General features: G+C 40.5%; 1 protein-coding gene across 4 annotated transcripts in view, besides 2 other annotated features; it reads right to left on the bottom strand.

Moving 5' to 3' along the window:
* Positions 1–24,469, bottom strand: part of TANGO6 (transport and golgi organization 6 homolog) — a 241,652-nt gene that overhangs the window by 81,541 nt on the left and 135,642 nt on the right. The gene's annotated exons all lie outside the window — the stretch shown is intronic.
* Positions 14,199–14,698: an enhancer, noted in NCBI's record as "H3K27ac hESC enhancer chr16:69022847-69023346 (GRCh37/hg19 assembly coordinates)". NCBI's record gives its function as "activates a minimal SCP1, AML or CMV promoter by ChIP-STARR-seq in primed H9 embryonic stem cells {active_cell/tissue: H9 hESC(primed)}" and the evidence as "EXISTENCE:reporter gene assay evidence [ECO:0000049][PMID:30033119]".
* Positions 14,699–15,200: an enhancer, noted in NCBI's record as "H3K27ac hESC enhancer chr16:69022345-69022846 (GRCh37/hg19 assembly coordinates)". NCBI's record gives its function as "activates a minimal SCP1, AML or CMV promoter by ChIP-STARR-seq in primed H9 embryonic stem cells {active_cell/tissue: H9 hESC(primed)}" and the evidence as "EXISTENCE:reporter gene assay evidence [ECO:0000049][PMID:30033119]".

Raw genomic sequence — 24,469 nt, 5'->3', positions numbered from 1 at the left:
TTATAACAGTCTATCTAAATTTTGGTCCCCTATGTTAAAACACGTTTTTTAAAGTATTGGTTTGCTTTCAGTAAGACTGAAAGAAATACTGGCTTTTAATTCTAAAATCTGTTTTCTTTTCCCTTGAAAAGGTATGTTCTTCACAAGCTCAAAAATGGCTGCTCTAGACTCCTGGGAAAAACAATATGGTGCTTACCTTCTGCTGTAGCTCAGTAGCTAAGGCTTTGCTCTTTTGTGATGGTGGCCTGGGTTAAATTCCTGGCTTAGGGAATGAATTCCTTTTGATTTGACAGTTGTGGGACTTTTGCCATTTATTTATTCTTTTTCCCTCTATGGGCAGCTTCTGATTTCCTGACTTGAATTTTCTTTTCTCTGAGCTACCTTAGGTGTGATTCTAGATCTTATAAAAACTGCTTGCCATCTCTTTGGAGACACCTTGTGCATCCATGGTTAAATCATAACCTTCGTTAAGGCTTTTTTTGTTTTACCTGGAAAAATACCTTTGAGGGGGGAAAAAAGGGCTTAAAAGCCAGAGGTGTCAGCTGCTTGTCCTGGCTAAAGTTTAATGATAAAAGATTTAAAAACTTTCTTTTTTTTTTTGAGATGGAGTCTTGCTCTGTCACCCAGGCTGGAGTGTAGTGGCACCATCTCAGCTCACTGCAACCTCTACCTCCCGGGTTCAAGTGATTCTGGTGCCTCAGCCTCCCGAGTAGCTGGGACTATAGGTGTGTGCCACCAGACCCAACTAATTTTTGTATTTTTAGTAGACAAAGGGTTTTACCATGTTGGCCAGGCTGGTCCCGAACTTCTGACCTCAGGTGATCTGCCCGCCTCAGCCTCCCAAAGTGCTGGGATTACAGGTGTGAGCCACCGCACCTGACCCAAAAGGACTTTTTTTAAAAGTGCTCTATGGTTAAAAATCAGCTTAATTAAAAACAGATACCCAACGTATTAGTCCATTTTACACAGCCGAGACTGGGTAATTTATAAAGAAAAGAGGTTTAATTGACTCATGGCTCTGCAGGCTGGGGAGGCCCCAGGAAACTTACAATCATGGTGGAAGGGGAAGAGGCATGTCTTACATGACAGCAGGCAAAGAGAGAGCAAGCAAGAGCAGGGAAAACTGTCTTATAAAACCATCAGATCTTAAGAGAACTCACTCACTTAACTCACTCACTATCCTAACAACAGCATGGGGGAAAACATCCCTATGATCCAGTCACCTCCTACCTGGTCCTTTCCTTAATACATGGCGATTATGGGGATTACAATTCAAGATGAGATTTGGGTGGGGGCACAGAGCCAAACCATATCACCCAAATTTTATATATATATATAAATTAAAGGGCTTTATGCCTTTTCTTGGATCTTATTTTTTTGGTTTGTTTTTCTTCTCAGTCAACTGAATTATTTCTCCTGTCCGTTTTCTTGCTACCCTTGATGCTCACATGAGAGGACCTATGGTAATTTCTGACAGCCTGGGACTCCTTGGGAGAAAAATAGAAGATGTCACAGATCCTGTTTTGGAAGAAAAAGCTGTTTTCCTCATGGAACTCCAAGAATTGTAAGTAGACAGGTCCCTCTCAAAATCTAAGGCTCTGCTCTGTTTTGCATCACATTACTTTATCTTTTTTTTTACTTTTGGGGGTATCAGAAATTATTTTGCATTATGAGAGAACTTTTAGCCTTGGTGTATAACAGCTAGGTAGGACATATACTTTTAGGAATAGCTGATGGCAGTTGCTTACAGTGAGTGGTTATTACTACAGGCCAATACTTCTTTCTTCTCATATTTAAATGAAAAAAGTGTGCTCTTGGGTACCTAAAAGATATGAAATGCGGAATGGGCAGATTGGCTTTGGGTTGGCCACCAGCTTCGGGGGAACGTCTTTGCAGTGAAATGCATGGTAAAAGCATTGCATTGTCTGGTCCCATGGTGTTCCTTTCTTTTTAGGAATCTAGAATCTAGTGTAAAAATGGGATCCTTGATTTTTGGGGATCTGTTTTGCTTTCTAACTGTGCCTGCTTATTTAGCCCTAGAAATGCAGGCTTTAATGAGAAACTTAAAAACTGGCAAATGAGAAATCCTACAACTACTGAATCTTCTGTCTGTCTGTGTATTTATATGTGTTGTATGTGTGATGTTTATATAAAAGAGCTGTAAATAATAGGCACAAAGAAAAATAAAACTTAAATACTTTGTTAGAAAAATAAAAACTTTAGTGCCTTTTAGTGTGCATGACTAATAATCTTTTAAAAATAAAGGGAGTTTAAAGATTACTGGTAAAATAAAATAAAAATGTCTTCAAAATTTGGTTTGCTAAATGCTTTAAGGTCATAAACTATTTCTATGACTTTTGGTAATTGTTCAACTTACCTGCGTTAGAGCCATTTAATTCAGGATAAGGCCTGGGAACATAGAGGGTGAGCCATTTCCCCCTAACTGTGCTGGAAAGAGTCAGACTTTATAGGCCATTCTGTCCTGTATCCTAGGCTCTGCACCTGGTATGTAATTAAAATTTCTTACATTAAAGAAATTAAAATTACATGTTTTTGGTAAAAAGGCATGAGAATGTGTTTTTTCTTCAAAAAATAAAGTAATTTTGTCTAATTTAGAGGGTGTAAGAATCATTTTAAATTTAAAAATATAGGATAAAACTAAAGGCTTAAACAAGTTGTAGAAGGTTTCTGAAAATTTAACCTTGTAAAGAACTGTGTGGGAGCAAGTTGACTAAAATTAAAAGGATATTGGTCAGGCTTGGTGGCTCATGCCTGTAATCCCAGCACTTTGGGAGGCCAAGGTGGGCAGATCACTTGAGGTCAGGATTTCAAGACCAGCCTGGCCACATGGTGAAGCCCCGTCTCTACTAAAAATACAAAAAAGTAGCCAGGTGTGGTGGCATGCACTTGTAATCCCAGCTACTCAGGAGGCTGAGGCAGGAGTATTGCCTGAACGTGGGAGGCAGAGGTTGCAGTGAGCTGAGATTATGCCACTGCACTCCAGCCTGGGTGAGAGAGTGACAGCCTGTCTCAAAAAAAAGAAAAAAAAAAGAAAGATTTTTGTTTGCCTTTAAAATAAACTATAGGAAAAAAAGAGGAGAGAAAAGAGATTCAGTTGGCCTCATTTTGTTTTTATTGGATCTTGTCTGGAAAGCTAAGTCTTCCCTTTATCAATGAGTAAAAGTTTTTGTCTTTTTGAAATCTTTGAGTTATTTTAGCTAAATAGACTACCAGTGATTCTATTTTATAATATCAAGTGTTTTAAGCCTTTGATATTTGACAAGTTCCCAAAATCAAATTCTAAATTAAGTCTTTTTCTGACCCAATTATTCCTTTTAGATATTAGGTCCCCTGAAGTCAAAAAATGACATATTTGGTATATTAAAAGCATACAGGAAGCACTGTTAAATATACAATGGTATTTGAGTTTCTTTGGGCTGTATTTGTATAAATGTGTTACTGGTATGTGTTCCAAAATTATGTGAAACTTCTATAATTCTGATATGACTTAGTGTACATTATCAGTAATAATTATAATTGTTATGCTAAATTATTTTCTGCCACAAAGGTAACCAAATTTCCTGGCGAATCGCCTCTTTGACTGTGGCTGCCCTAAGACTTTTTGTCATCCACAGACAATTGTCTTGTTTTGATCCGCTACAAAAGATGGTTTGTAATCAGCTACAGGACTCTGACAAGCACTCTTCAATATACATCTCTGATAACTTTGGAAAGTGTGCCACTAAAACAGAGAAAAAAACTTTCAAGACTCTCTTGGAAAGCTAATGTGTTTATAGATATTGAGCAAAACAGGAATTAATTGCATAGATTGAACTAATAAAATACTAAAATAATCTTTTTATGATTTTTTGCTTAAAACACTGCTGATCCTTTCTGTTTTGTTTTTCAGAGTCAGAAAATCTTTTGAGCTATTTATAGCTTTCAACAATTGAGTAAAGTATACTCCTCTAAGGAGTATAAAACAAAGTTTTTGTCCAAAAACAAAATATAGAGCATGTTTCTTTCTCTCTATCTGATTTCTCCAGAATTTGGAAATTATTTGTGAGTATTGTTAACTTATGGCAATGTTGTTATTTGAATAAGTGTAATAAGAATCTGTTTTCTTTTGTAATGGGACACAACTAGAGACACTGGTTATTTTACCAAGGTTTTGACTGGAATGGCATGCTTTCAAATATAAACAGACTGTTTAAGGGATCAAAGTTGACTTATAGAGCCAATAAAAGCCCCTTAGGAAAACTGACCTCATACCTTAACTACACAGTCCCTGTACAGAGTTCCTGACCTGCAGTAAGTAAAAAATGTCACTTTCTGACAGGCCCAGGAGATACAGGTTATCTTGGGATCTCAAGAAAAGAGGAATTTACCCAACTCATACAAGTATCTACAGGCACAGATGAATTCATGGCTGGACTCAAGGCTTATACAAGTCTGAGAAGGCTGGGCATGGTAGCTCATGCCTGTAATCCTAGCACATTGGGAAGCCGAGGTGGGAGATCACCTGAGCTCAGGAGTTCAAGATCAGCCTGGGCAACATGGCAAAACCCTGTCTTTTCTAAAAAATACAAAAATTAGCCAGGTGTGGTGGTGCACACCTGTAGTCCCAGCTACTCAAGAGGCTGAGGTGGGAGAACTGCCTGAACCTGGGATGTTGAGGCTGCAGTGAGCCAAGATTGTGCCACTGCACTCCAGCCTGGGTGACAGAGTGAGACTTGTCTCAATCAATCAATAAAGTCTGGGATTCCTATGGAACAATGTTTCATCAAAGACAATTTAAAAAGGAGTTTCTATGGCAAATAATTATTCTTGCTGCACTTTATATACATGATCAGGCCAAGTTTAATAAGACTAAAACTTATTTTGCAAACAAACTGGTTTTTTTTTTTTTTTGAGATGGAGTCTCACTCTGTCACCCAGGCTGGAGCGCAGTGGCGCAATCTTGGCCCACTGCAACCTCCGCCTTCCAGGTTCAAGCAATTCTCCTGCCTCAGCCTCCCAAGTAGCTGGGACTACAGTTGTCCACCACCACATCTGGCTAATGTCTTGTATTTTTAGTAGAGACAGGGTTTCACTATGTTGGCCAGGCTGGTCTCGAACTCCTCACCTTGTGATCTGCCCGCCTCAGCCTCCCAAAGCGCTGGGATTACAGGCATGAGCCACCGTGCCTGGCCTGCAAACAAACTGGTTCTACCATGATTTGTCTTTAGTAAAAATGGAGACTGGAGAGAGAAAAATTATGATTCAAAAACTATGGTATACCTGTTATTAGGTTCTAATCACATCCATTGTTTTTGAATTTTTTCTGCAATTTAGACTGATCCTGCTTACTCCTGTGAACCAACCAGTGATCTCTGGCTGCTGCTCAGAAGAAACAATAGGGATGGGTAATGTGAAAATCTGAATGAGTATTCTAATTCTGGGCATGACCTCATATTAGCTTGGTTACAACTGCCCAGTTCATGAAAAGCCTTCTTATTTAGTTTACTTGAGATAATTTCACTTATTTTGCTTTACTACTGTGGAATATATTGTCATTGTACTCTTTGTGTAGGAATGCAGGATAAGCCTACTCAACATTTTCTTAAATTGAACACTTAGGAATCTTCCAGATTATACCTTCTGTTGAGACTCAGTTATGAATGGCCCTCACCATACCAACACTTTCTCATTGAGCTCCTCTCTACCTTGAATACAAGAGACCCTAATAATTAGGTAAGAATATCATTGCCCCTGTTCAGCCTGAAGAAGTTACAGAAGATGGATCTTCATCCCTTTACAACCCTTAGGATTAAGGGTGCCCTTGTAAAAGGGAGGGAGGAAATATGTCAGAGGTGTTCTAACCAGAGTGACTCCATCTTGAATAGGTGCTAGATGAGGATGAGACCTGCTGGGCTGCATTCCCAGGAGGTTAGGCATTCTTAGTCACAGGATGAGATAAGAGGTCAGTGGGACTGGTTTCACAAGATACAGGTCACAAAGACCCCACTGATAAAATGAGATGTGGTAAAGAAGCCGGCTAAAACCCACCAAAAAGAAAATGGTAATGAAAGTGACCTCTGGTCATCCTCACTGCTCATTATACACTGATTATAATGCATTAGCATGCTAAAAGAAACTCCCACCAGTACCATGACAGTCTATAAATGCCATAGCAATGTCCAGACATTACCCTATGTGGTCTAAAAAGGAGAGGAATCCTTAGTTCCAGAACTCCCCAATCCTTTACTGGAAAACTCATGAATAATCCATCCCTGTTCAGAATACAATCAAGAAATAACCGTAAGTATAGTCAGTCAAGTAGTCTGTGCTGCTGCTCTGCCTATGGAGTAGCCATCCTTTTATTCCTTTACTTTTCTTAATAAATTTGATCTCACTTTACTCTGTTGGCTCACTCTTGAATTCCTTCCTCAGTGAAGCCAAGAACCCTCATGGCCGCCTAGGCTGAACCCCAATTTTGGGATTCACCCTGTGACACTTAAACACAGTGGGCCATTTGGTCCAATATTCCACAGTTTCCATGTATAGCTGCATCAAATCACATTTGACAAACATTAACCCACAGATGTTAAGATCTTATGCCAGAAGTTAAAAACCTTTGTGCTCCAACCTTTTTGTTTCGCCCAATCCAAATCTCTTTTGTTCTTTATTTCATTTCCTCTATGGACCAGGTTGAAGTAGAGATGAAGAACTGGAGTCTTTTTCTGTGTATCTTTGAATTTTAATCTTCTTTCCAGGCTCCAGGATCTCAATTAGAGTGTTTAAATCCTCCCTGTAATCTAACTAGTTGAAGTATGCTCTTCCTTTCTCCAGGACTGTACTCTGTGTACTTTCGGTTTGATATTAAATATTTTGGGGAGAAAAAAGGTAAAAGCATAAAATGGTCAAAGGATGCAATACATATTTGACCTCCTTAAATCAGTTACTGAAAAAAGGGATCCAGAAAAACTACTTTTCCTCCTGTCTTGGATGCCATTTACTTGGGTACTAAAGTATATGGATCTCTAGGGATGACACCCTGGAGAGCCACATGCCCTCAGCAGAAACATCTTGTTGATCCAGTCAATGAGGAAACAGGAGACAAAATATAGATCTGACTCTGTTCATGTGCCCCTTTTTTGTGCTCGCTAACATCTACTCTTTTTTCCCTGCATTTCAGGGCCTAGAACTCTACCTCACTACTGTTAAGAAATACAATAGAAGAATCACTGGTTTCTTGTAACATTTCATGAATACAATTTATTGCCACATGTGAGCCAGAGTCGACACAGTTTACAATTTCTGTCAAGGTCCAAAGGAAATTAGATTGACATGGCAGATCCTGACAGGCAGGATTTCCTCTCCAAAAGCCATTTAGAGAATTAAATAATTTAAATGCAATTAATTTTTGATGAAATTCATCATTAAAAAATTCGTAGGTAAATTTTGATCTATTAACAACAGTTACTTTTCAGCCTTGAATTTCCCCTGCAGCTCTGGGGAAATCATCTCTGTTCTGACTTCAGTTTCCCTCCTCACATAGCCCTTTATGAACAGAAGAGGGATCTTAGTCAATATAATGTACGCAGCTACAGTGCAGCCCAGACATAAAATGCTGTGGGATAAAACAATGCTGTGTGCATTTGTAAGCCTCTTTATCTGCAAAATACTTATATGTCTATTATCTTGTTTGAACCTCACAAGAATCTGAGATAGGTAGAACAAAATATTATTAACCCTGTATCACAAATAAGAAAGTAAAATTTAGAAGGGGCTCATCCCTTTTAAGTCCTAAAACAAAGGACTAAAATGCAGCCAACTGATTGCCCCACATCTCTGACATTTCAAGGTCCTTGCAATTTTCATCTTTCTTTGTTTAACTTCGTAAGGCATGGGTAGAAGAGAAGCCAGTGACTTAGTCTTAAAATGGTGCATAAATAACAGGGTACAATGGAAATAAGTTCCAGCATGGGCAAACACCAGAATTGGCACTGAGTAGTCTTGGTTAAGGGCTGGAATCCTATTCATTCTAGTCTGGAGAGGAGAAAAAATTCCCCTCTTCTTTCCCACTTTCAAAAGTGGAAAGAACGGAACACTTCCGATTTCCTAACCATAAAGGATGACTGATAATGGCCTTGTGAAAGCTGTTAAAGCCCTATATGGATGCACATATTAGAGCACTGCAGAGTGTTGGAGCCAAAGCCATCTTCTGGTCTTGATGAGGCTTGCCAGGCACACAGGTCACAATAGTCACTGGGCAAAAATGCTGGGTAGTCCCTGGATAGATTTCCCCCTACTGGTGTCTACATGTCAGGACCCATTTTTCTCCCTAAGGCTAATTGTTGATCTGCTGCTTTCTTCATTCATTTCCTCTGTAAGGTAATATAACCAAGAGGTGACCCTGAACTAGGAGTGGGTTAGAAAAGATTTCAGGGGCTCTTAAGCTTTCCCTTTCCAGTCACACACAGACCACACAAGTAGGAATGATTTAGATGCAAATTATAAGTAAATAGACTTTGACAGGCTTAGATTGGGACCATGAGAAGATCCCTGTGGGACAACTTATTAAACAAAAAGAAACTTGATAGTGGAACTATTGTTGGTGTAAGTAACCTACCAAGAATGTTTTAAAGAGACAGAGAGATCTTCTTATCTTCAAATTCTTCTTCTATTAGCAAATTGTATTGCCTCAGATTATATTTAATCATTCAAACTTTATTCCTTTGCATTAAATAGTCTCCTTATTGAAAATACAAAATAAGCTGGGTGCCGTGGCTTATTCCTGTAATCCCAACATTTTGGGAGGCTGAGGCGGGAGAATTGCTTGAGCCCAGGAGTTTGAGATCAGCGTGGGCAACATGGTGAAACCCCATCTCTACAAAAAAAAAATTTTTTTTTTTAAATTAGCTGGACGTGGTGGTGTGCGCCTATGGTCCCAGCTACTTGGGAGGCTCAAGTGGGAGGATTGTTTGAGCCCAGGAGGTAGAGACTGCAGTGAGCCATGATAGTGCCACTGCACTCCAGCCTGGGTAACAGAGCAAGAACCAGTCTTTAAAAAAAAAAAAAAATCCCAGGAATGGCCACACAATAGGAGGCTGCCATCACCTCTTAGCAAATATTAGTATATCTGCTACCTGCTTCTTATAGGCTGGGAAAGAATAAGAGAAAGATTTGAAGGTAGGGCAATGTCTGAAATTTGATTACTTTCTAGAGATGGTCAAACCTGGGTAAGGACCTGTAGAGGGAAGTTTTAAATGGGAGAGGGGAAGAAAAAAAGAGGTAAGTGAGGGGCACTGAAAAAAGGCACAGAGGCCCTACTTTACACTTAGACTTGCAAAAGGATGTTTTCTTTCTGTTTCTTCAGAAAACAGAGTGATGTGCAAATAAAATCCATAAATAAATATCTTTCAGAGTAAAACAATGTACAGGAAATGCTTTGTATTACTGGATTTTTGGCAACTCAATGAACTAAAATAACACAGAAACATAGACAATTTGAAACAGGAGATGCCAGGACTTCTATAGTTACGTATTAACTAGATTACTCATTCCATCTCAACAGCTCATTGAACTCCAAGATTGGCTTAATCAGTGCATAAGCTTTCAGTTTACACAAAGTTACCCTATGAGGAAAATCTACAATAACTGACTCTACCCTAGTGTGTTACCAACAAGACAAACAGATTGGTTCTCCTGAAAAGTGTGCTCCAGACAGTAAGTGCCTCCAGAAACTTCCTTGAAGGGTGAAATTAAAACAAAGTCCAGAAATGTAATAATCAGGAAGGAAAAATTCTAGGTTTGTGGTAACTTATTTTAAAAACTGAAAGAAGAAAAAAATCCTAGATATTTTAAATGACGGAGACTGTCTTTACAATTCTGTAATCATGAAAGTATTAAAACTATTCCAGTGATTTAATTAATTTAATTAGATATATAAAAGTTCAAACTCATTAAAGCATGACCAAGAGTTGGTTAGCCTCGTAATATTGACAAACACAAATCAGGAAGCCTGTGGATTGAGACTATAACTTCATGTTTAAATTATTAACAGATCATCCATCCCTCAAGTGCTATGAATCAATTCCTACTATATCAAGCCATGGAGAGGAAAATTAAGTAACATTGTCTTCCTACAAGGAACACTGTATTTCAGTTACACTGTTGGTTTACTCTCTTGCAAGTCCGTAAGTCAAAATGAATGCAAAAATCTATTTCAAAACTTGCAGAGAGAAAATCAGGTGCTTCATTATTCTGTGTTCTTTCTCATACATATATTGAATTAGAATCCAAATGAATGCTTTAATTTATTCTGAATTAGAATAGTGAGATGAGAAGACAAAAGTATGAAGACACTGAAAATAAAAATAACAGCAGAATAAAATGCTGAAACATCTAAGCATAATTATGTTGTTATCTTTAAAGAAAGAACCCCTTGCCAATGACATCTTGTGTCTCCTAAGCCAGTGATTCCTGCAGCTGGTGATTTTTAGAAAAGAACTGCAATATCCACTTGAATCTATTTAAAGAGATCTAATTATAAAAGATAAGATTTTTCTTTTTTCTTTTCTTTTTTTTTTGAGACAGAGTCTCCCTCTGTCACCCGGGCTGGAGTGCAATGGCGCATCTTGGCTCACTGCAACCTACGCCTTCCGGATTCAAGCGATTCTCCTGCCTCAGCCTCCAGAGTAGTTGGGACTACAGGCGCGAGCCACCACGCCCAGCTAATTTTTGTATTTCTAGTAGAGACGGGGTTTCACTATATTGGTCAAACTGGTCTTGAACTCCTGACCTCAGGTGGTCCACCTGCCTTGGCCTCCTAAAGTGCTGGGATTACAGGTGTGAGCCACCGTGCCCGGCCAGATTTCTGCTTTTTTAACATAGAATACAAAGCTTGATTTGAGAGGGAAAAAGGACATAAGAATGACTTGGAAAGATGAGTAATTTCCAAAGAATCTCTGTTGAAAAGCAAACAAGGAACGGCTGTCACAGAAACAAATACATGTACTTGGATTTTTCTCTGGAGTAGAACAGGATGATCGCACATTTTACTCAACTGAAGGGCTACTTACTAGGGTTGGCTTTTGCCTTGGCATAATGCAGCAATATGAGGTATTCATTCAAAAATAACAACAAAAAAATAGCAACCAACATTTATTCACCCCTTACCATGAAAGACACTGGTTCTGAACACTTAACATAAATTATCTTATTTAATTTCATTACCATCCTATCAGATATTTAATAGAATTATCCCCACTTTACAGATAAGGAACAAAGAAGTTATATAACTTGTCCATGCTACTAAAGGTTAGAGTCGAGATCAAAACCCAGTTAGTTATGACTCCAGGGTCACAGATAGCACTTCTGTTAAAGAAAACTAAAATGCATTCAAAGTTAAGTCCATATGTCGAATTCTTATTTACCTGCCCAGTGGCTGCCACTGTAGATGGTCCCACCTCCCCACTTTGATATCTGGCAACCCTACTAGAAGACTAAATATAGTGATAAATAGATCTCTGTGATGATACTCATATATTTATAAGCGATTTCATATATATTACTTTATTTGAGCCTCTCAATAGTTCTGTGAGAATAGTTGCTGGGTGGATTATAACCCCGTTTTCACTAAATGTTTAAAAAAAAAAGGATGATGGTCTCTCATTTATTCCTCTGAATTGCCTATAGTATTCACATTTTCTCACCATTTTCACAGCCATTCCTCTAACCAAAATCCTCATCTCTTTGTGTCAAGGAATACCACAACCACCTCCCAGCTTTCTCTCCGGCTCCAGGCTCTCCTTTCTTTTGTATTTTTATTTTGCGAGACAGTCTTGCTCTGTCACCCGGGCTGGAGTGCAGTGGCACGATCTTGGCTCACTGCAACCTCTGCCTCCCTTTAATCGGGTTCAAGTGATTCTTCTGCCTCAGCCTCCCGAGTAGCTGGGATTACAGATGCATGCCACTATGCCCATCTAATTTTTGTATTTTTATTTATTTATTTATCGATGAAATCTCACTCTGTCGCCTAGGCTGGAGAGTACAGTGGTGCGATCTTGGCTCACTGCAACCTCTCCCTCCTAGGTTTAAGCAATCCTCCCACCTCAGCCTCCTGAGTAGTTAGGATTACAGGAGTGCACCACCACACCTGGCTAATTTTTCCTTTTCTATTTTTAGTAGCTTTTTCTATTTTTAGTAGAGGCAGGGTTTCACCATGTTGGCCAGGCTGGTCTTGAACTCCTGACCTCAAGTGATCCACCCACCTCAGCCTCCCTAAGTGCTGGTATTACAGGCATGAGCCATCATGCCCAGCCCAGGCTCTCCTTTCTTCAGCATCCTTCATGTCCCTGCCAACCACATACCTATACATTTATCATCATGCTGTTTCCTTTAAGAATCTACAGTGATTCCCAAATGGCCATCATGGCAAGTCTAGACTCCTCTGCTCAGCTCTCAGAGCTGTCTGTGGTATGGCTCTACCCTGTCTATCTAGCCTTTCTTCTCCAAGGTACCCAACACAGCCTCAACAGAGGGACAGGTTAAGTCTCAGTTCTTCATTCTCACCATATACATCCCACTTCTGTTTTGTTCTTATGCTTTCTTTCCTATCTGGGGACATCTTTTTTCTGTCTTTATCACGTGTAAGCCTTTGTTCGAGATCTACCATCATCTCTTGCCCCAACAACATCCTAATAGGTCTCTCTGCTTCAAGTCTTGTCCCATTCTAAGTCATCCTTCACAGAGTGACCGAAGTAATTTTGCCAGAATATAATTATTATTACTTCTTTCCTCCTTAAAGTCTTTCAATGGCTCCCATTTTATAAAATCAACATAAACTCCAAATCCATTAACACAGCATATGTATCCTTTCATGATCTTGACTCCCTGAGCTAAGCCAGGCCATGGAACCTAGTCTGAGTTCAATGATGAATGAGAATGGTAGCCAGGCATGGTGGCTCATGCCTATAATCTCAGCACTTTGGGAAGCTGAGGTGGGAGGATCACTTGAGTCCAGGGGTTTGAGATCAGCCTGGGCAACATAGTGAGACCCTGTCTCTACGAAATATACAAACAAATTAGCCAGGTAATATGGTTTGGCTGTGTCCCCAACCAAATCTCATCTTGAGTTGTAGCTCCCATAATTCCCAATTGTTGTGGGATGGAGCTGGTGGGAGATAACTGAATCATGGGGGCGGTTTCCCCCATACTGTTCTCGTGGTAATAAGTAAGTCTCATGAGATCTGATAAAGGGAAACCCCTGTCGCTTGGTTCTCATTCTCTCTTTACCTGCCACCATGTGGCAAGATGTGGCTTTGCTCCTCCTTGCCTTCTGCCATAATTGTGAGGCCTCCCCAGCAATGTGGAACTGTCAGTCCATTAAACCTCTTTTTCTTTATAAATTACCCAGTCTCGGGTATGTCTTTATTAGCAGCGGGAGAACAGACTAATACGCCAGGTGTAATGGTGCATGCCTGTGATCTCAGCTACTCAAGAGGCTGAGGTGGGAGGATCACTTGAGCCAGGAGTTTGAGGCTGCATTGAGCTGTGATCGCACCACTGCACTCCAGCCTGAGTGACAGAGCAAGAGTCACACACACACAGAGCGAGAAAGAGAGAAAAAGAGAGAGAATAAGATTTCATCTCTTTTAATTTTATGTACTCCAAAGCAGAAAACAAGCAGGACGAAGATCATGAATAAGATAAAGATTCAGGTGGGTGAATACAGTCCCCTATTTTATCTCTTGGATCTCAGAAAAATGTGCTAAAATTCACCATGCATAGAGTAGACTCAAAGCAGCAGCTAAGGCTAAAAGAACTGAACTGAGATTTGAGCTGCTGCCCACCACAGGCATGACAAAGTTTGCCATTTCAGCCTACGTTAATTGCCTGTTGAAACAAAAATTTAACACTGTTCAGGGTATTATATCAGAAACCACAGTTTCTGCAACATAATATTCATAATGTCTAGTACAGAATCCAAAACTTCTAATTATGTGAAAATATAAACCATTTTCAAGGAAAAAGACAATCAACAGTGGCCAACACTGAAATGACCCAGATATTTTAGTTATCAGATAAGGATTTTAAAGCAGCTATTATAACTATGCTTAATGAAATAAAGGAAAATACACTTCTAATGAACAAAAAGAGAGGAAATCTCAACAAAAAAAGAGAAAGGGACCAACTACAAATTCTAGAAATGCAAAATACAATATCGAAAATAAAATATTCACTGGATGAGTTAAACAGTGAAATGGCAATGACAGAGGAAAGAGTCCATGTACCTAAAGATAGATCAGTTGAAACTATTAAATCTGAAAAAGAGAGAGAAAAAGATTGAAAAAAAAAAATTGAACAGAGCCTGTTCTTGTAGAACAAGAACAAGAACAAAAAAATCTAATATATGTGTAAAGTCCTAGAATGAAAATTTAAAAATTAAACAGAAGTAGAGCTATTAAGCCAAAAATGGAGATTAAGAATCATGGGCTGGGCGTGGTAGCTCATGCCTGTAATCCTAGCACTTTGGGAGGCCAAGGTGGGCAGATCACTTGTGCCCAGGAGTTCAAGACCAGCTGGGCAACATGGTGAAAACCCATTCCCACAAAATATACAAAAATTAGCCAGGTGTGTTGGCATGCACCTGTAGTCCCATACTTGGGAAACTGAAGAGGGAGGATCACCTGAGGCTGCGAGGTCGAGGTGCAGTGAGCTGTGATCATGGCTTTGCACTCTAGCCTGGAAGACAGAGTGACATCCGGTCCCCCCACAACCAAAAAACAAATTAGCTGTACGTGGTGGCACACACCTGTAGTCCTAGCTACTTGGGAGACTGGGTGGGAGGACCACTTGAGCCCTGGAGTTTCAGGCTGCAGTGAGCTGTGATTGTAACACTGTACTTCAGCCTGGGAGACAGAGCAAATGAGACCCTGTCTCAAAAAAAAAAAAAAAAAAAAAGAGAGAGAGAACTTAAACTCTAACTATTCACCAAACACAAAAATTAAATTGAAAAATTGAAACAGGTCATAGACTGAAACATAAAAGCTAAGATCATTAACATTCTAGAAGAAAAAATGGGAGAAAATGGGTAAACAAAAATTTCTTAGGATTTTTTTCTATTAAAAACACTTATAAAATGGGCTTCATAAAAGTTAATGTCTTGAGTAGCACTATGTGCATGGAAGAGAGAAGAGGACCAAGGGCAGAGCCCTGGGGGACTCCAAACTTGAGAGATCTGTTAGTGGGGGAGGAGCCAGCAAAGAAAACTGAAGAAAAGCAGCTCTGAGGCGGCAGGAGAAAAAGGCAAGTCAATTGTCAGGAAGGCCTGGAGAAGAAGGCGTTTCAAAAAGCAGGGGTGGTCAAACATATCAAGTGCTACTGGAAAGTCGAGTCATATGAGGAGGAATAACTGATCACTGGCTTGTCAATATTTAGGCAGATAAAGGAATGTTGGGGATGAAAGACCCATTAGAGTGTCCTGGGAAGAGAATGGGGAGGGAGAAAGTGGAGGCAGCAAGGCAGACAGCTTTTCCAAGAATTTTACTCTGGAGGAGACCAGATAACTAGGGTGACAGTTAGAAGGAGATGTGGGGTCAAGAGAGGTTCCACTACATATAAAGAACCCTCGCAACTCAGTAATAAGAAGATAATTAGCCCAATTAAAAAATGCAAAAAGATCTCAACAGTTACTTCACAAAAGAGATACATGAATAGAAAATAAGCATATGAAAAGTTGCTCAGTATAATTAGTCACCAGGAAAATACAAATGAAACCCACAAAAACAAATTCTTTTCCCACAATGCACTCAGGACAAACAACAAAATAATATCAAAGGACTTTCTTCATCCATTCACTTTGAACAAACACAGTTTTCAAAAGATATTTTTCTTTACTTGACAAAAGACATAGCAGATGGCTTAAAAAGCCCCATGTCACTTAAAATTTTAGGAAAAGATCTGTTAGTATATAAACAATTTAAAGGCTGGGTGCAGTGGCTCATGCCTATAATTCCAGCACTATAATTCAGCCAAGGTAGGCAGATCCCTTGAGCCCAGGAGTTCGAGACCAGCCTGGGCAACAGGGCAAAACACTGTCTCTACTAAAAATGCAAAAGTTGGCCGGGCATGGTGGCACATGCCTGTAGTCCCAGCCACTCGGAAGGCTGAGGCATGAGAATTGCTTGAATCCAGGAGGCAGAGGCTGCAGTGAGCCGAGATCATGCTACTGCATGCCAGCCTGGGTGACAGACCAAGACTGTCTCAAAAACCCCAAACAACAACAACAACAGCAACAACAACAGCAACAAAATTTAAAATTTAAATAGCCTATGACCCAGTAATTCCACTTTGGTGAATATCAACCCAAAAGAAATAAAGGTTCTAGCACTTTAACATGTACATGTATACAAGATATACACATATAAAAATATATTTTTATTAGCACACATAGATGAGAATTTATATTGCAGAGCTGTATATCATAGAAAAAAAATAGAAAAAAATGGATACCCATCCACAGAAAAATGGTTGAATAAATGATGTCAATTGTGGTATGGCCAGCCTATAAAATATGCAGCTGTTTAAAACTTTCTCCCTCATCTTAATTACCAGGTGAAGCCAATTGGAACTCACCGTAGCCTGCTAGATAAATCCAATTATTCAGTTTTCCTTTGTTTTCTCCAACTGGCTGGAAGAAGGTATCTGTCAGAGCAGAATTTGGGGCTGAATTTTCTCCACTCTAGACAGATTATAGGGGTCTCACTCTATCCCCAGGCTGGAGTGCAGTGGCGCAATCCTGGCTCACTGCACCCTCTGCCTCCCAGGTTCAAGCAATTCTCCTGCCTCAGCCTCCTGAGTAGCTGGGATTACAGGTGTGTGCCATCACTCTTGGCTAATTTTTGTATTTCTAGTAGAGACCGGGTTTCACCACATTGGCCAGGCAGGTCTTGAACTCCTGACCTCAAGTGATCTGCCACCTGGGCCTCCCAAAGTGCTGGGATTACAGGTGTGAGCCACTGCGCCCGGCCCAGATGATACGTTTTCTAAAATTGGATTATGGCTTCATTCTGGAGCTGCATGAACCATTAGAGACCTGGGGCCATGTGATACTCATCACTTGGATGAACTGAAGGGGTAAAGTGATTGCTAAACTAAAACACAAAAATCAAGCAGGTGACATGGAAAAGAGTTGACAAAGCACATTGAATCAGGGTGTTTTACAGCCGGAAACACCCCGTAAAGCCTAGGACTCACCCTTTTCCTAGAATATAGAGTAATCTGAGGAGCTGCTTTGCCTCAGGATTCCTGGGGGTCACTCTACTTACCGTGGCATACGACAGAAGAGATCAGAGACTTAATTCTCACCCCTCAGTCCTCATTCAAAATATGAATTCCTGATCTCTCCTAAAAGCAAACTCTTCAGATGGAGCAACATGAATCTGGCTATTTTTGTTCTGACTTTTAGAAGTCTCTGGCCTAGAGTAAACTGGAACTTGTCTTAGCTTGCTGATTACAAGGCTACATTCTGCCTCTAAAAATAATTAAGAAGTACTGTTCTTTGTACGTCATGATGACACCACCAGCTCTGAGTTGCTCTTCCAGGGAAGCAAAGGGTTCACACTGAGTCATGTATCCCTCAGTCCCTCTCTCCCCTCTTCCACCCACCCACCTCCCCTGACAGGTTCCTTGATTCTGGGAGCAAAGCTGCACATTTTGGAGATGGCTGGTCAGGGTTAAACATTTAGTTTATACCAAAGGTGTCAGAAGAGAAAGAAAAAAGGCAAAACAAAACCCGAAAAACATTTAGTCTGAAGCCATGAAATAGTTTTTCTCTATGAGATATTAGCAGTTTAATTCACTGCTGAAAAGACTGTACATTTCTGGAGGACAGCTTGGCACTAAGTATCTTTTAAAATTAAATTTAAAAAATGTGTTTTTTGAGACAGGGTCTCACTCTGTCACCTAGGCTGGAGTACAGTGGCACAATCATGGCTCACTGCAGCCTTGACCTCCCGGGCTCAGGTGATCTTCCCACCTCAGCCTCCTGAGTAGCTAGGACCATAGGTGCCTGCCACCACACCCCCAGCTAATTTTTGTATTTTTGTGTAGAGATGGGGTTTCGTCATGTTGTCCAGGCTGGTCTTGAACTCCTGGGCTCAAGTGACCTGCCTGCCTCAGCCTCTCGAAGTGCTAGGATTACAGGCATGAGTCACTGCACCCGCCGGTGCTAAATATCAAGAAGTATATGTTGACCTAATAACTTCCCTTGTAGAAACCAATCCCAAGGAAAGAACCAAAGAATCATCAAAAGGAGTTATATGTAAGAATAATCAACAGAACACTTGTCATAATCAGTAATAAACTGGAAACAACCTAATTAAACAATATGTTCCCAGAGATAATTAAATAAAAGTATAATAAATTCAGGTAGTTACATAATTAGATTATAACACAGTCAATATTATATTTTCAAGAAATAGGCCAGGCATGGTAGTTCACGCCTGTAATCCTAACACTTTGGGAGGCCGAGGCAGGAGGATCACTTGAGCCCAGGTGTTGGAGTCCAGCCTGGGCAACATAGTGACACACCATTTCTATTTAAAAAAAAACTAACAACAACAAAGAAATATTTAATGACATAGGAAAGTACTTACAAATAATGTTAACCAAGAAAAAAAAAAGCAGTATATATACATACAGTGTAATTACAATTCTGAGAAAGAAAAAAAAAGCTTGAAGAAAATACATCAAAATGTAAACAAAGAGTAGTTACTCCAAAGTGAAATTATAGGTGATTATTTTCTTTTTCATACTTTTAAATATTTTTCTGGGCCAGGTGTGGTGGTTCACATCTGTGATCCCAACACTTTGAGAGGCTGACACAGGCAGATCACTTGAGCTCAGGAGTTTGAGAACAGCCTGGGCAACATAGTGAGACCCCACATCTACAAAAAATAAAAAAATTAGCTGGGCATGGTGATGCATGCCTACAGTCCTAGCTACTCGGGAGGCTGAGGTGGGATGATGGCTTGAGGCCAGGAGGTGGAAGCTCTAGTGAGCCAGTGATGGCACCACTGCACTCTAGCCTGGGCAACAGAGCAAGATCCTAGCTTGAAAAAAAAAAATCCAAACTGTCTAATATAAGTAGGAAGTATAGTTCAATCTATAGACTTTTCCCTTCCCCTTATTATATCAGTAATAAGTTATAGCCATCAAAAAATTGATGTGAGAAAGAAAAAGAGAAACGGGAAAGGAAAAATAGTTACTTAGTCTGGATTTCAACCTTCAATTCTGGCCATATTAGTATTTCCATTTATATTAATATAAATGTTTGTTGAATTGAACTACACTGATGCCAGCCTAGGCAGACTCAGCAGGGAGCATTTCATTTGATCCTGAGTTTTGATGAAAATTTCTTCTTTAAAAATATGTGAGCTCTAACACTTGACTGCTGTTTATTGCTGCCAAAATCCATGAATGCTAAACTCCCAGACTGGTATCCAATTATTCACACTTCCAACCTCCCTTTTCACCTGAATTTAAGACTGTGCTGTGAAATGGAAATCTCTGAAAACTATCATACAAAAGCTATTTTTCTTTTTTTTTTTTTTTTCTTTTTGAGACGGAGTCTTGCTCTGTCGCCCAGGCTGGAGAGCAGTGGCGTGATCTCGGCTCACTGCAACCTCTGCCTCCCAGGTTCACACCATTCTCCTGCCTCAGCCTCCCGAGTAGCTGGGACAACAGGCACCCGCCAACACGACTGGCTAATTTTTTGTATTTTTATTAGAGATGGGGTTTCACCGTGTTAGCCAGGATGGTCTTGATCTCCTGACCTCATGATCCGCCCGCCTCGGCCTCCCAAAGTGCTGGGATTACAGGCATGAGCCACCGCGCCCGGCCCTACAAAAGCTATTTTTTCAAAAACGGACCTGTTGTGCTGTGATGATGATGAGGAACGGATGTAGCCTTGTAGCACACTGCCACACTCAACTGCAGGGTTTGGAGAAGAAAAAGGACAGACATGACCATTTCTTCTGTGCCTCACAATACTCCATACAGGCCTCTCCCTCCATGGGCCGGGCTTCTTACCAATGCAATTTGTCTATGAGTTGACCTCTCCCTCTAAATGATAAGCTCCTTGCAGGAAGAGACCATTGCTTTTTCATGCTCCTGTTTCCAGCTACAGTCACAGAACCCAACCACTCAGTGGCTACTCAATTAATGTTTCTGAACTGGACTACATTAATGTCCCATCCCCAGGATTAAGAAAAAAAAAATAAGTGTTTTCAAGATAAAGAATTTTGAGCATTAGAAAGAGCAACCAAATAACCCAGGAATTTATATGACTTAGAAATTGACAAAAACAGGAAACTAAATTAGAATTCAGAGAGTATTTGGGTGTTACTATGGGCAGAGGTGGACATAAATTGTTTTTCCACCAAGGATTTCCGACCCAAACTGGGGATCCAAATGAGAGCCACATACAAAGAAGATGTAACTTCAGCCCAGTGCGGTGGCTCACGCCTGTAGTTCCAGTACTTTGAGCAGCCAAGGCAGGAGGATCATTTGAGGCCAGGAGTTTGAGACCAGTCTGGGTACTGGTCTCTAAAAAAAATCAAAATAAAAAAAAAGAAATAACAAGACCTGCAAATCTGAGGCTTCCTGAAGTGATTCAGGAGCAACCAAGTATTTAAAAAAAAAACACTTCATTTTCTCTTCTGATCCCTTTGGAGGAGAAATAAATATTAGCAAGGAACATGAAATATTATCTAAATACAAAGGATAATTTAAAAATATACTTCATTTTATGGTCTATTAAAAGGAAGGAAATAAAGGGTAAGAGGCATATATACGAAGGTTCTAATAGAGGTGAAATAGAGGACTGGGCACCGTGGCTCATGCCTGTAATCCCAACACTTTGGGAGGCCGAGGTGGGAGGATTGCTTGAGCCCAGGAGTTCGAGACCAGCCTGGGCAACATAGTGAGCCCCTGTCTCTACAAAAAAAAAAAAAAAAAAAAAAGGCCAGGGCATGGTGGCTCATGCCTGTAATCCCAGCACTTTGGGAGGCCAAGGTGGGTAGATCATCTGATGTGAGGAGTTCGAGACCAGCCTGGCCAACATGGTGAAACCCTGTCTTTACTAAAAATACAAAAATTAGCGGGGCGTGGTGGCAGGCACCTGTAATCCCAGCTACTCAGGAGACTGAAGCAGGAGAATCGCTTGAACCCAGGAGGTTGCAGTGAGCCAAGATTGCACCACTGCACTCCAGCCTGGGCGACAAAGTGAGACTCTGTCTAAAAAAAAGGTATGAGATAGGCTAGAATTTAGTTAGGGCCAGCAGGATGACTACATAGGTTGTATATTATACAACTCCAGGGCATGCCATTCATATAATGAGGCCCCTAGGAGTTTATACAGCAGTGAACAACCTGCATAATTATATGTGGCAGCCCTGGATTTAACACATTTGAGAGAAACAGAATGGCCCACGTGGGTTCTAGAACAAGGTGTTTCAACAAGGGCCTTACTGCCATTTTGAGCCACATCTTCTTTGTTGTAGGTGGCCATCCTGTGCATTTTATGATGCCTGGTAGTATCCTGGGCGTCTACTACATGCCATAATAATCCCCTCCCCAGCCAGTTCTAACAACCAAAAGTGTCTCCAGACATTGCCAAAGAAAGAGAAGACATAGGTTGAGTATCTCTTATCTGAAACACTTGGGACAGAAATGCTTTGGGGTTTTTCAGATTTTGAATTTTTTTAGAGTTTGGAGTATTTGCAGAATATATACTGGTTGAGCATCCCTAATCCTAAAATCTAAAATGCTCCAATGAGCATTTCCTTTGAGTGTGTCATGTCAGTGCTCAAAACGTTTTGAATTCTGGAGCATTCCAAATCAGGCATCAGGCATATGTGAGAAAGGAGTGTGGTCTACAGCAGATCAGATTAATTCTCTAGGCAATCGCAAAAGGAAATACCCAAAAAGATGCATTTAATAATCCCTTTTGATTTAATTCAATTTGCCAAGTAACATCCCAATGACCAATTCATTATCTTGGGCACAGTAATAGTAATATCAGGAACATATTACTAAACAGAAAATATGTTATATTTTAAGAGAAGTTTTAAGAAATGCAATGGCTGGGTGCAGTGGCTCACGCCTGTAATTCCAGCATTTTTGGAGGCCGAGGCAGGTGGATCACCTGAGGTCAGGAGGTCGAGACCAGCCTAGCCAACATGGCAAAAACCCGTCTCTACTAAAAATACAAAAATTAGCCAGGTGTCGTGGTGCATGCCTGTAATCCCAGCTACTCAGGGGGCTGAGGCAGGAGAATTGCTTGAACCCGGAAGGCAGAGGTTGCAATGAGCTGAGACCACACCACTATACTCCAGCCTGGGCAACAGAGCAAGACTCCGCAAAAAAAAAAAAAAAAAAAAAGGAAAAGAAAAAAGAAATGCAATGACATGTAACAATCCACAAGTTATTGTCAACATTGACATTGGACCACATAAGAGGAAACAGATGGAAAAACATTTGGAATGATTGGTAATTTAACAACGTGTTAAGATTAAATTTCTAGGAGTACAAAAACTCCTAAATTGTTCCTTAAATAAAAGAGACTGAACCAAAATCTTTCCACAATTCTTTTTTTTTTGAGATGGAGTCTCACTCTGTTGACCAGGCTGTAGTGCAGTGGCGTGATCTCGGCTCATTGCAACCTCCGCCTCCAGATTCAAGAGATTCTCCTGCGTCAGCTTCCCGAGTAGCTGGCACTACAGGCGCCCGCCACTATGCCTGGCTAATTTTGTATTTTTAGCAGAGACGGGGTTTCACGGTGTTAGACAGGATGGTCTGGTCTCCTGATCTTGTGATCCGCCCACCTCGGCCTCCCAAAGTGCTGAGGTGAGCCACCTCGCCTAGCCTCCTTCCACAATATTTTCTACATTGAAAAGTAGACATAAAAATATATAAAGCCTTGCTGGGTGTGGTGGCACGCACCTAAAGTTCCAGCTACTCATAACAACCTCAAACCCCTGGGCTCAAGAGATCCTCCCACCTCGGAGTCCTGAGTAGCTGGAACTATAGGTGCAGTGGCTCGTGTGCATAATCCCAGCTAATCATGGGGCTAAGGCAGGAGGACTGCTTGAGCCCAGGAGTTCAAGCCCAGCCTGGGCAACATAGCAAGACCCTATCTCAAAAAAAAAAAAAAAAATATATATATATATATATATATATATAGAGAGAGAGAGAGAGAGAGAGAGAGAATGACAGACAGATAGATTCATACTCATGTAATCCTGGTTTGGGAAAGCTGTTTTCTATATAAGAGAAAAATCATAAGGTAAAAGATAGATTTACCTTCATTGACATTAAAAACTTCTGTGTGTCAAAAACAAAATGAAAAAGAAAATATGAATAAAACTAAAAGAAAATATTTATGATATAAATGTCAATGGTTCAAGATCTTTAAATACATAAAACTTTTAAAAATCAAAAAACAAGGGCAGGGCGTGGTGGCTCACGCCTGTAATCCCAGCACTTTGGGAGGCCGAGGCGGGCAGATCACGAGGTCAGGAGTTCGAGACCAGCCTGGCCAGCATGGTGAAACCCCGTCTCTACTAAAAATACCAAAAAAAATTAGCCGGGCATGGTGGCACACATCTGTAGTCCCAGCTACTCAGGAGGCTGAGGCAGAGAATTGTTTGAACCTGGCAGCCGGACGTTGAAGTGAGCTGAGATTGAGCCACTGCACTCCAGCCTGGGTGACAGAGCGAGACTCCACTACAAAAAAAAAAAAAAAAGTCAAAAAACAAAATTGATACCCTAATGAAAAAACAACGGACTAGAATATGTAATTCTCACACACACATGCACACCCTCCACATACACGGAATCTTAACTAGTCAATATATGGAAAATATTTAACCTTATCAATTGAATAAATGGAAATAAAAACAAGATAGCATTCCTTTATATATCTTCTTGATAAAGATTTTTAAAAATGATAATACATAGAATATATCATACTTTTGAGGGTACAGACAAACATTGATAATATAAACTGGCACAACTTCTCTGGAAGACATTTTAGCAACAAATATCTTCAAAAATATTCCTGGGCCCGGCGCAGTGGCTCACGCCTGTAATCCCAGCACTTTGGGAGGCTGAGGTGGGTGGATCACCTGAGGTCAGGAGCTTGCGACCAGCCTGGCCAACATGATGAAACCCCATCTCTACTAAAAATACAAAAATTAGTTGGACGCAGTGGCACGCGCCTGTAGTCCCAGCTACTCGGGAGGCTGAGGCTGGAGAATCCCTTGAACCTGGGAAGTGGAGGTTGCAGTGAGCCAAGATCACACCACTGCACTCCGGCCTGGATAACAGAGCAAGACTCCGTCTCAAGAAAAAAAAAAAATTCATATACTTCAGGCTGGGTGCTGTGGTTTACGCCTTAATCTCAGCACACTGGGAGGTG

Source organism: Homo sapiens, chromosome 16 (assembly GCF_000001405.40).
Source record: "Homo sapiens chromosome 16, GRCh38.p14 Primary Assembly".
Classification (NCBI taxonomy): domain Eukaryota; kingdom Metazoa; phylum Chordata; class Mammalia; order Primates; family Hominidae; genus Homo; species Homo sapiens.
Note: the sequence above shows the minus strand (reverse complement) of the source record. Positions and strands in the feature narration are given on the sequence as shown.